Source organism: Homo sapiens, chromosome 3, assembly GCF_000001405.40.
Source record: "Homo sapiens chromosome 3, GRCh38.p14 Primary Assembly".
Lineage (NCBI taxonomy): Eukaryota > Metazoa > Chordata > Mammalia > Primates > Hominidae > Homo > Homo sapiens.
In genome coordinates, this window is record NC_000003.12 from 29,643,812 (window position 1) to 29,656,851 (window position 13,040).

General features: G+C 36.2%; 1 protein-coding gene across 12 annotated transcripts in view; it reads left to right on the forward strand.

Annotated features, from left to right (window-relative positions):
* Positions 1-13,040, forward strand: part of RBMS3 (RNA binding motif single stranded interacting protein 3) — a 729,325-nt gene that overhangs the window by 362,741 nt on the left and 353,544 nt on the right. The window lies entirely within an intron of this gene.

A 13,040-nucleotide genomic window follows, 5' to 3' on the forward strand; every position in this document is an offset into this window, starting at 1 on the left:
TTGATCTCGTCTCATTTCTGTAATCACAATTTTAACATGGAAAAAGGAAAACACACACACATTCAGGGAGTGGGAGCATTAATGAATTTCCTGCCATTTTCTTTCTCTGAAAACCTCCGTTTAGGATAATTTCATATTAGTCCTGTAAAGCAGAATGTTTTTCGAGTGCATTGGTTTCTCACACTCCAAAATTGAGGTTTCAGTGGCAGTATGCCGCTTCTACCCCCAGCTTTCAAACATTTCTCCAGCTTCTCATAATCACAGCTTGGTTAGTCTGAATCCAAACATTTGAATCTAATAGAGGGGAATTCTAGTCACTAACAGGTTTACAATATAGTAATTTTCCCCAAAGTTATCCATGATAAATGGGCTTCCCAAATAGCCTCTAGCAATCACAGCATAACGCATTAGATGGAACACTCCAAAAAAATAAAAAAAAGGAAATTTGAAATCCTGTGTTAAATTGTCGTGTTACAATTTTGAACGGGTTTCAATCACAATTTGCATCCTCTCAACTGAAATTTTTGTGGGCTTAAACAATGCTTTTATTCCAGTAATTGTGGGAGGTATATGCCACTAGGGGCTGCATAGTTTGGGTGTGCCTCCATGCACAGACAAGAACTGTTGCTGAATCATAAGTATATTTGAGCCTCGTGTCTGAAGCCTGTGGACCTAGAGCCTAACGTGTCTCAGATGGAACACGTAGACTGGTTCCAGTGCTTCTTGTTCTGTTTCTAATTATGTCGTGTCTGCATTCATTCTAGGTTTAGATCTCACAAATGCTATTGATAGAACTTTGCCTAAAAGGTTCAGTAAAACTACAAACAAACCCTAGTTTTGAACTGTCATCCAATATATTATAATAGTATATGAATTTTAGTCTTTCATTGCAGGCACTATATTGTTTGACTCTGATTGTATTGATTGCACAGGCGAAAGTAGGATTATAGCCGAAGAGTAGTTCATGGCTGACATTTTTATCGATGGTTCCATGAACCTGAATGTGTACTTCAATCCACTAAGGTCACTGATTAAAATGTTTACCCAATAAAAATTACATTTAAATATGTCAATAGTACATCAACTTACATAACATCTTTCATCTGAAAATATAACAACATATATGAGAAATTAATGGCATAGTCACTAATCCCTGTAGAAGTATTGCTTAACCATGGTTCACTTCTCACAGAATCAAAAAGAGAGAATAAAAATGGTATAGCAAAGACTTTTAATGATTCCAGCATCTATTAGGGTATCATTGTCACAAATAAAAAGAATACCAGTTCCTACATTTCTCAAGGCTATTTCTCAATACAAGTTAAAATGATTCAGGAATGCAGGAGATGCAAAAAAAGAGGCTGCATATTAAGAGCTTGTTTGAGCAATGGAACCTCTATGTATTTACAAATGTGGCACTTTTCTCTCTGCTTTAAAACTTAGATCTTGAATTACTCGAGTGATTGTGATCTGCAAATCGGTATACATTGTTGATTTCTCTGTTCAAATTAATATCTGCTGAATGAGTTGGGCTTTGTAAAAGTTCGGCTTTGTGTCTTATTCATTCTCTGCCAGGGTGTCTGGTGCTGTCCAAGGAATGTCCCAGGACAGAAGGGTCTTTGTATAAGGAACAATAATAAATTCCATTATTGCCATTTATGAATTATCAGGCTGCCTTGATCTAGTTAACTTCTGTACAAAGAGTGCTATCAACTTCAAACTTTAGTTAAGTCATCATGAGGCAATGATTCCAAGTTTTGATCCATTTTATAAGGGATCTTCCATTTTACTGTATCATTCTGAATACTGTTCATTTTCTGTCATTTTTAATTTGGTTTTTCTTTTAAAAAGTCAGCTTCTGTAACACGTTTTGACTTTGAGGCAGAGTCTACTTTGGGTTTGTGCTAATTTTTTCCTCTTAGACAATTAAAACTTTCCAAGAGGACATTTGATGTTTTGCAGCATGGATGTCATACATCCCATATTGGCATTGTGTAATGTTTTTGGTAATATTAAAATAATTGGTAGTTTAGGTGAATTACCACTGGGTCACTGGCCTTTATCACCCACCCATATAGATAGCCTTTTAAATTTATATTGTCTGTTTATGTGATTTGCCCTGGCCCATATTTGGAAATACCTACAAAGCCCTACATTACCTCTAATCTGCTTAGGCAATCTTGCTGGTTATGCATTGGTATTTTATATTGGTAACATACAAGCCTGCTATCATCTTCGATGTTCCCTTTAATCTATGCTGTCCAATAGTGTAATCATTTGGCTGTATGCCTGTTTAAATTGAAATTTAAATTCATTCACATTAAATACAAATTCAGTTCCTTAATTGTACTGGTCACAGTTTACATGCTCAATAGTTACATAAAGGTAGTGGCTTCCAGACTGGACAGTACAAGTATAGAAAATTGCTGATATTGCATAAAGTTCTGGTGGACACTGCCTTAAATGTCTGATAAACTTATCAAGGAGAATGTCTACATTGGCTTAGAGGCAGAAAACAATTGTGGCTGTACAATTTCAGGTTCAATACTAGAAACAGCAAAGTCAATAAAAGTGGCTGAGACTCTCAGAAGGTGCACACTTGTAATTGCATCTCATCATGAGTGCTTGCTGCAATTAAATGAAATCATTCAAATGTTGGTTTTATTAATTCTTTAAAAGGAACAGGGAAAATGGCCACTTGAGAGTTCTTTTTGTTTCACTACCGTTAATATGTTACCTAATGTCTCTTATAAGTATGTCTACATTTAAATACTGGTTTAAGTTTCTTAACAATTTTTATGTTTTTTTTTCATACCAAATCATTTCTATGCCATGCCAGCCAAAGGCTCATTTTTTCTCCTTTTTTTTTTTCATCCTAACTACAGTTTTCCCTTCTCATTTTTCTTCCCTTCCCTTCCCTGTCTCCTATTCCTGCGATTCTGTCTTGATGATGTCTAGGTGATAGAGGGAAAAAAGGGAGGAGAGTTTAAAATCTTTTAAAGTAGATATTCTGTTTTTGGAATCTCCCACGTGATTTGGGTAAAGTGGAGGAGTCTTTGGGGGCAAGTCAGCTATCTTGCATATGTATCTTCCTCATTCGGAATGCGTGTTAGATAAGTGCAGGATAATCTGGAGGCAAATACCAGGCTTCAGAAGCATCCTTCTCTTTTCTTTCTTTTCCCTTGAGACAGAGTCTCACTCTGTTGCCCAGGCTGAAGTGCAGTGGTGTGATCTTGGCTCACTGCAACCTCCACCTCCCAGGTTCAAGTGATTCTCGTGCCTCAGCCTCCCAAGTAGCTGGGACTACAGGCGCGTACCACCACACCGGGCTAATTTTTTGTGTTTTTAGTAGAGATGGGGTTTCACCAAGTTGGCCAGGCTGGTCTCGAACTCCTGACCTCAGGTGATCCGCCTGCCTCGGCCACCCAAAGTGCTGGGATTACAGACGTGAGCCACCGTGCACGGCCTCTTTTCTTTTTTATCAAATGCTGAAATCTGAATGCCCAGGGAGATTGGTGGCCCTTGCCAGGAAGTGTCTTAACACTTTGTGGATACTGCTGCCTGTTGTCTTTAAAAGCTGGGACTCATCAAATTAAAAACAAAAACAAAAACAAAAAAGCTACGATTCAAAGTTTTCCCATGAGACATTTACATGGCAGATGCCTAAATGTTCCATTGTCATGTTTCTAGATAGAGGTGGAAACCATAACAACTAAATATGCTGAAATAATTCAGTGTGGAAACAAATTCACAAACTAAAAGATGTTGTGTTACTCCATAGTATCTTAAGGCTTAGGATTTTCAAGAACTTGGTATGATTGGAACATATCTCTCGCAGGCTGGGTATTCAGAGCAGGAGGTAACCATCTTAAATACATGTGTAGGCAAACCTGAAAGTTTAAGATTTGGGGATTTCATAGCACTCTGATATAGGCATATGATTCCTGCCATGATGTTGTTTAACTAATGTGTGTGATAGTCACACACATTTCTGTTAAAATATAGATAAAAGTTATTAAGAGTATTTTTAAAAATCCTCAAATCTTTTGTGAATGTCCTGTCCAATCTCAATTATAAAGAATTGCATAAGAATGGTTAAGATCTACTGGGTCTACTGAATGAAAAATCATACAGAGGTGTTACTGTAACACCATATATGAATTCCTGAAAGACTTCATGTTCTGCAAAATCATGCACTAAAAATAATGAGACATGGAAACCAGTGGGATGGGCAGACCACATAAAACATATAACAATTTGTAACCTGAATATTTATAAATACATTTGCAATACAATCTTAAACCCTGATGTTGTCCCTTGCTCCTTCTGGATGTAGATGTTGGATGGCATTCAATTCTCCTAGAGACTCTTTTTATTAGATTTTTAAAAATTATATTCAATTATATTTTCATTAATCTCTTGTTCTAACATAGGGAAAATAGAAAATGTCTATTTTTTTTTTTTTTTTTTTTTTGCGACAGGGTCTCGCTGTGTCACCCAGGCTGGAGTGCAGTGGCATGAACAATAATGGCTCACTGCAGACTCTCTGTCCCAGGCTCAAGTTATCCTCCCACCTCAGACCCCCGGAGTAGCTGGGACTACAGGTGTGCGCCACTACACCTGGCTAAGTTTTGTATTTTTTGTAGAGACAGGGTTTTGCCATGTTGCCCAGGCTGGTCTTGAACTCCTGAGTTCAAGCCATTCTCCTATCTTGGCCTCCCAAAGTGCCGAGATTACAGACGTGAGCCACCACAACTGGCTAGGGGAAATGACTTTATACTTCTTAACATGAACTCACGGCTTATGTGAATTAGCTTAAAGGAAAGCAAGGAGATTCTTGAAACTTCTTGCACTAAAGGAAACATTTTGCACTAAAGGAAAACAATTCTGTAGAATTACAGTGTTTTTTTTTCCTAAACATGTCCAAATATTTTTTTATTTACTTGTAAAAAAGCTTACCCCCGTCACTTCTAGACATTAACAAACTTGAAAAAGTCTCCAAGAAACCAAGACTTCCATGTTATTCTTACATCATTCTCTTCATTTTCAAAGGCATATGAGCTAATTCATGTCACTGAAATATCCAGTACAGCAGAACAAACTCATTGTTTCCAGCTTTAGGAAAATCCCCTCAGAACCAATGCAACTTCACCACCTGTTTTGGGGATAAAGAAGGCGCCCTTAAGCCTTTTGGCCTAACTAACATGGTAACTTTGTCCTCATTCCCTGCTTCAGAATTAATATGATTTTAATAAGTATAACTTCTTTGGTCTAAGGTTTTCAAAGTCTGTTACCCCTTCATTCCATTTTTATAAGCACTACTTTTTCCCATGTTATTTTTTCTCTACTTAATTAATTTTTAATTTGCAAATTTATTTAGTTTTTGAATAGGTAACATGTTCACATGGCAATACATGAAAAGATGAGTCTCCTTCTCATCTGTGCCCATCATTAAGAAAGTTTCCCTTAAGAATCCATGGAATCTTGCTCTGCAGCTCTGGGGCACAATTTCCATTTGATGGAGTTGTACAAATGTCACGTGAATTTATCATCACATTTCAGGCTGTGTCATCAAATTCTAACACATGACATTTTAAAAAACTCATACAAGCATATTCTTACTTTTTTTAAATTTTTCACTAACAAGGCAAGCTAACTAAGTGAAGTAAATATATGATTTTTGGCCTGTGAAGGTGTGCATTACTTAGGCTCTTACAAGTCATAAGGGAAAAAGTGCTGTCATGGGTGATGGGTGCTTATTATAATCATATGTGGGAACTGAGGAAGCATAATGAACCTTCTAGGCAGCTGCAAAGTACCTCTGAGTCTCAGAGGTTCCCAATCTGAAATGTTTATCAAGTAACTGGAGAAGTTGGAGATGACACATTGTCATTCATGAAACAAGGACAAGTTTACTTGCCATATTTTCTTAACTTCCACATGAAAACATTTTTACTATCTTTTATGTATATGCATATGTTCTCCAAAGATAAAATTTTAATGTACTAGTTAGTATCCAATGTGGAGATACTCAGTATTGTCTCTCATCATACTATAATTATGTAAATGCCATCCATATCTATTGGATGCCACAAACTCCACATTAAACTGGCAAAGATCATTATAATCAAGGAGTGTCACATCGCACAAGGCCAAGTGCTCTTATTCGGAAGGACTGATTCCCTATTGGCCACGCCCCTCAGGATGCAATTGTGGTGAGCAAGTCAGGAAGATCAACATTTCAGAGACTGTCCAGAGAAGAGTGGTTTACATTGTGTTTAGTTTCACATCCTCATACAGAGATGTTACTTGATTTCATTTGAAAAGGATTGTCTGAGATATTTTCTTAAAAAGCAATATTTTACAAACAGAAAAGAAAACACCCAGAAACGAAGTGTATTTGAATTCTTTCTATGAGATGCCTAGGCAATCTTTTAAACCCAAATAAGTCAATTACTCCTTTCTTTCTTTTTTTTTTTTTTTTTTTTCTGAGACAGGGTTTTGCTCTGTCACCCAAGCTGGAGGCTGGAGTGCAGTGGCGTGATCACAACTCAATACAGCCTCAACCTCTGGGGCTCAAACAATCCTCCTTCCTCAACCTTCCAAGTTACTGTGACTACATGCCCATGTTATCACACCCAGCTAATTTTTCTGTATTTTTTAAAGACACCATGTCTCATTTTGTGGCCCATGTAGGTCTCACACTCCTGGGCTCAAATGATCCTCCTGCCTCGGCCCTCCAAAGTGCTAGGATTATAGGCATGAGGCACCACGCCTGGCCTCCTTCTTTGCTTTTTCTTTTTGAAGAGATAGGTTCATTGTGGCAGCCAAAGTGTCACTTATATGTAGTGCCTGACAAGGTACTTGCCCGGTTGACAAATGAATTGAATTAGATAAAGCAATTTAATTACTGGGTAAGACACTGCTTAAGTTATTAAAAGGCAGCACTAAAATAATCTTTCAGGTATGTTAGCTAAAAGTACCCATTTTATTAAAGCTGCATTCTTATGAGACTAATGCTTCAACCATCTATTTGTATGGAAAATCTAAGGGTCTTAACCACATTTCAGGAATTTAATTAATATCATGTTGTGTTTAGGAATGCTGGTTTATTCACTAGGGTATAAATGCAATTTATTTTACAGAGCCTGAAGTCTTTATATGTTTCTATACCCCTGGATAAATCTCAACTATTTTAGTTGTTGATTTTTTTTGATGTTGCCTTTAAAAAATCAAAACTATATTTATTACTTTATCAAACCAATAGGCCATCAAGCTGTCACATGAAAGACTAAAAGACTGACTTAATCACAGCATCTTCAGATCAACAACAAATGCTTTCCCTGCTACAGAGGCTACTGATTTCAGGACATGGGAATCAGAATAGAGGTCTTGCATAGGACTCTACCTGCCTGAGGGAATTAATACATGTAAAACATGTTCAGTGTGTTCTATCTTAATTAGAAACAGCATCTAATATTGCACTTAGAAAATTAGAGAAAACTCAAGAATACATTTTTGAAAGAAATCAGTTTGCTTTATCATGGACTGGAACTCAGGAGTGTCTAACGTGATTATTATTCTTTGAACAAGTTAAATTGGTGGATTTTGACATAATGGAAGAAAACCTTCCTCTCTCTTATCTCATGATAAATTTAAAGCTGAAAGGTCACTTGTGGTTTGTACATGCATATTCAGAATTAAGCAAAAAATTCATTTTGATTTTTATCAGTTTTCAAAATTAAGAAAACATACAAGTGTACACACATACACACACCGAAAAACCACAGTTTTTTATTGAAAGTTGGTTAGTTTTTAAGTACTGCCCATCCTGAAATAGTAATGTTTTCCCTAATCCTAAATAGAAAACTCTTTTCGTTCATTATCCATCAGTAGTACTTCAGTGATATAAATCCTATTACTACAACTTAGTTTCTCCCAGAGCAAATAGCTGAATGATTTACAACAATGGCAGTTTGGATGGTTGATAGCTTTGCAAGATCTCATCCAACTCAGCCATACATACAAGTTGTCATGCATCATATAATTTTAAATACATTCTAGAAATAAATAAATAATATAATTTCACTTACCATACTTATATTTTTCAGCCTTTGCAGAATACATGGTAGTTTTAAAACATTTTTTATCAACTTAAAACTTAACTGTAGCATACTCCAGCTTATACGCACATAAATATGTAACTATATTCTCCTCCTTCTCTTTGGATAACTACTGACCATAAAATTCTGAAGAGTAGAAAATCCACCTTTCTGATGATGGTGGCAGTCAGAAGATGTCTTTCATCCCGAACAATTTAGAAATGTAGAAATTTCAACGTGTTGGCAAATTCCCAAAGTTTTTGTAAACCTGTGAAATGTACAGAGATTAATGTGGTTATGATTTCCTCAACGGTAATTTCAATTTCAGCTGTCTGGTTTTTATACATATAAATTCTTATGTTAATAAAAACTTCTCCCTTACCTTGTATACTTGTAGGGAGGTGGGAGCTGAAGTAAAGAAAAAGTAAAAAACTCATATAAATAACAATTATTTAAGCATTATTAGGATGCTCTCCAAAGCACGTAGAACCTAGATAAACACTGAATATTAGATAAGAAAACCAATATTATTTATAATTTCCATGCCTACATTTACCCATTTAATATTTATCACAAATCAATGGTTTTAGGCCCTCCTGCTAGTGATCTTGGGGAGGAGTTGACTAAGAGGCTATAGCAGAATTGTATTTCTCACATGCATAGAATCAGAGACAAAATTAAAATTTCCCAAAGAAATTTCCTTTTGGAAGTTTCTAAATTGATCCATGCAAAAAAATAAAAATAAAGCTAAGGGTGTTTAAGCAGGCAAAATGTTTGGAATTTTGTTTCTTAAATGTCTTTAAGGTTTGTTTTTGTGACTAAAGCTCTCTAATCTCGGAAGTCTTGAAGGAATCTTTTTACCAAGCCACATGCTCTTTTGTGAATTTCTGAATTCTATGGAAATGTAAACTTCACAAGTATTGATGTTCTGCTCCCAGAAGTGTAAGGCTGACCTCTGAAGTTCAAAGTCTCTTTCAATTTCTTTGGTGTAAACATCCAAGAAGGTTAGAAGAGACAACTTTTAGAAAGCAAGGAAATGGGTAGCAGCAGATTTTATATCAATGGTAATGTAGAAATCAACTTCTATAGTCAAATTCCAAATAAGCTGATTAAGAAGAATTAACTGGAGATATTGATGGGAAAGAGAAATTGTTGGGAAAAATAAAATGAACAGCCTTGGTGAAGAATTCCATTCGTTGTTAAGATTTGCTCAGAAATTGTGGTGGTGGTGGCGCCATGGTGGAGTTTTAGATCAATACAAATTTAGCATTTAATTCTAGATCTGTTGCTTATTAGCCATTAGATCTCAGATAAGCTAATTAAAATTCTGAGTGGCATTTCCTCATCTGCAAAATTGGGATTAGTATACTTATATTGCATGGTTGTTTTAGGATTATAGGTTTTGAGTAGAAACTATTACCCTCACACCTGGAAAGAGTAAGTTAGATCTACTCTTACTTCACTTTCTTATCCTCATTGTCGTCATTATCACTGAAGATGCATAACGCTGTTTAAAGTCTGAAGGATGATACAGAACTGACGGTAAACCTCTCTGAACCATGTTTAACTGCCTAAGGCTAGACACGCAGTGATATCAGAATTAATATTGTTTTCTTTCAAATGAAGGATTCTGAGCTGTGGACCAGAGTGAGGATGTGTATTTATGGGCTTCTAGGTGGTAACTGTTCTTGTGTCTAAACCTTAATTAACATAACACTCTTTCACACGAATAAAACTTTCATTCATTATGGTTTTGGCCCATAAAAGTTGAAGTTTTTTGTTTTTGTTTTTATTTTTTCACCAAATCAGCCCTACAGCGATTCCTCCACCCCCATTAGCAAATACCGTAATATATGTCTCTAGTAATCATCCTCTCACAATTCTGCTTTTCCTAATTTTGCCGTGAGTCAAGTTTCTTGACCACAATGTTATGCTGAGGAAGATCTAATGTTTTCCATGGAGCAGAAATTGTTAGTCCTCAACTCCAAGGTCTGCCTTGTCAAGCCCTGTTTTCCGTGTCTTCATAAACCTTGTCAGGCATTTATTTATTCAGCACATATCTACTGTTCTCTGCACAAGAATTCATAAGGATCTGATGAATTATGTCCCTTCTGAGTGGAATTTATTCCCTTCTACATTTCTGCAAAACAGGAAATTGGTAGTAAGTCAATTTGAAGGTACTATTTAGCTGGCACTTCTGCCCTTTCTTTTTTAACAGCTGCCTCTATAGACAGAACGTTGAAATGAAAAGATAGGGAAAATTGGCAGAAACACTCTGCATGTAATTCCTATTTAGACAGTTTTAAACCTATTTTACAAATGATAAACCTGGAATATAGTAGGGAGAGATTTGGTGATGAAAGAATCTAGATTTCTTAACTCCTTATTAATACGTACTTTAAGTATTGGACTACAAACTTGCATATGTCACTGGTAATCATTGAACACATGTTATCATGTAGGCACTATCAAATTGGAGCCTATAATTGATGAATGAGGGATATCACTACTCATCTACAGTAAAGGGTCCTGAAATGCAGAAATATGGAACTGGTGTGACTGTATCTTTGGATATTTCAAGAGAAGCCAGAATACATGAATTGGATTCGTGTGTGTGTGTGTGTGTGTGTGTGTGTGTGTGTGTGTGTGTGTGTGTGTGTATTGGGCATGTATTTGACTTTTAAACTTTTTTTTTTTGAGAGAGTTTCATTCTGTCACTCAAGCTGGAGTGCCGTGGTGCAATCTTGGCTCACTGTATCCTCCACATCTTGAGTTCAAGTGATTCTCTCACCTCAGCCACTAGAGTAGCTGGAATACAGGCACACATCACCATGCCCAGTTAATTTTTGCGTTTTTTTTTTTTTTGTAGAGACAGAGTTTTACCATGTTGACCAGGCTGGTCTCAAACTCCTGGGCTCAAGCAATCTGCTCACCTCAGCATCCCAAAATGCTGGGATTACAGGCATGAGGCACTGCACCTGGCCAAAATATTAACAACTATTTTTAAAGGCAGTACTAGCCAAAGAAAACGTGACCTGATAGAGATTGTGACTTCAGAAGTTTAAGGTTTTACCTCCTAAACCACATGCTTCATTTCATATTGCATTTTAACTGATGCCCTTTTGTTTTATTCTGTAGCCTCTTCCCCTTACTCTTTCTTCCTCAGTGTCTTCATCTGTGAAATAGGAATAAGAACATTTATTTTTTGCCTTCAAACGACCAAGGATTGTGGTGCATGTGAAGATTAATGAGGTCATCTGGTTAAGCTCTTCTCCCTGGGTGGAAGAACAATGGCTTGTGAATACTAAGTGGCATTTGAATCATGTGTGCTTTCATGGAAAGAGAGCTGGTCCATTTAGCTCCCCGTCTGCAGGGAGTTATAAAAGAAGAAACTAGGGAGGAAGAAGCTGAAAATATTTCTTCATGACTATTTCCTCTGGTGAAGCATAAAGTAGCAATGAGAATTCTGAGATTTGTTTGCGTGATACTTTAGTCATGCACCACATAAAGATGTTTCGGTTAAGGACAAGTTACATATGTGACGGTGGTCTCATAAGATTATAATAGAAATTAAAAATTCCTATTCCTAAGTGACATCATAGTTGCCATAACATCACAGCACAATGTGTTACTCACATGTGCGTGATGATGCTGGTATAAACAAATCTATTGTGCTGCCAGTCATATGAAAGTATAGCACATACAATTGTGTATGGTACATAATGCTAATCATGATAATAAAGATTATGTTATTGGTTGACATACTTACTATCCTATATTTGTTATTTTAGAATGTACCACTTCTACTTATAAAAATAAGTTAACTATAAAACAACCTCAGGCAGGTCCTTCATGAGATATTCCAGATGAAGGCATTATTACAGAGATGATAGCTCCATGTATGTTATTGCCCCTAAAGACTTCTCGTGGAGCAGGATGTGAATGTGGAGGACAGTGATACTGAACCTGACCCTGTATATGCGTGGATTAATGTGTGTGTTTGTGTCTTTTTAACAAAACAGCTTAAAAAGCAAAAAAAAAAAAATTAGAAATGTAAAAAATAGCAGAAAGCTTATAGAATAAGGATATGAAGAAAGAAATATTTTTACAGCTATGTGATGTATTTGTGTTTTAAGGTAGGTTATTATAACAGTCAAAAAGTTTTTTTAATTAAAAAATTTATAAGGTAAAAAAGTTACAGTAAGATAAGGTTAATTTATTATTGAGGAAAGAAAATTTTAAGATAAATGAAGTGTAGCCTAAGTATACAGTAGTCTACAGCAGTGTACAACGATGTTCTAGGCCCTCACATTCATTCACCACCCAGTCACTGGCTGACCCAGAGCAAGCTCCATTCATGTACATCATTTCAAAATCTTTTATACCATGTTTTCACTGTACCCTTTTAATGTATAGATATGTTTAGATACACAAATAAGTATCATTGTGTTACTGGCCACAATATACAGTACAGTAACATGCTATACAAGTTTGTAGCCTAGAAGCAATAAGCAACACCATATAGCCCAGCTGTATAGCAGATTATGCCGTCTAGGTGTGTCTAAGTACACTCTGTGATGTCCACATAAGGATGAAATTACCTAATGATGCATGTGTTAGACCAGATCTCTGTTGTGAAGCAAAGCATAACTATAAAGACTCTGTATGCAATATAATGTAAAGAGAGCAAAACCCTCACAATGTGAGTTCATGAGTTTATACCTGTTAGCAGGTGTGTGTGGGAAATAACCTGTCTACCTAAGGTTCTGTGTAGATACCTTAGGACACAAGGACAGGTGTATGTGACCTGTCTACCTAAGGCTCTGACCCATAACCGTTTTTTATGCTCTAATCAAATTGTCTTTTTAATCACTGGACTCTCCCTCTCTCTCGTACATTAGTTAGGGTAGACTAACTACTGAAACATACCTCAACATA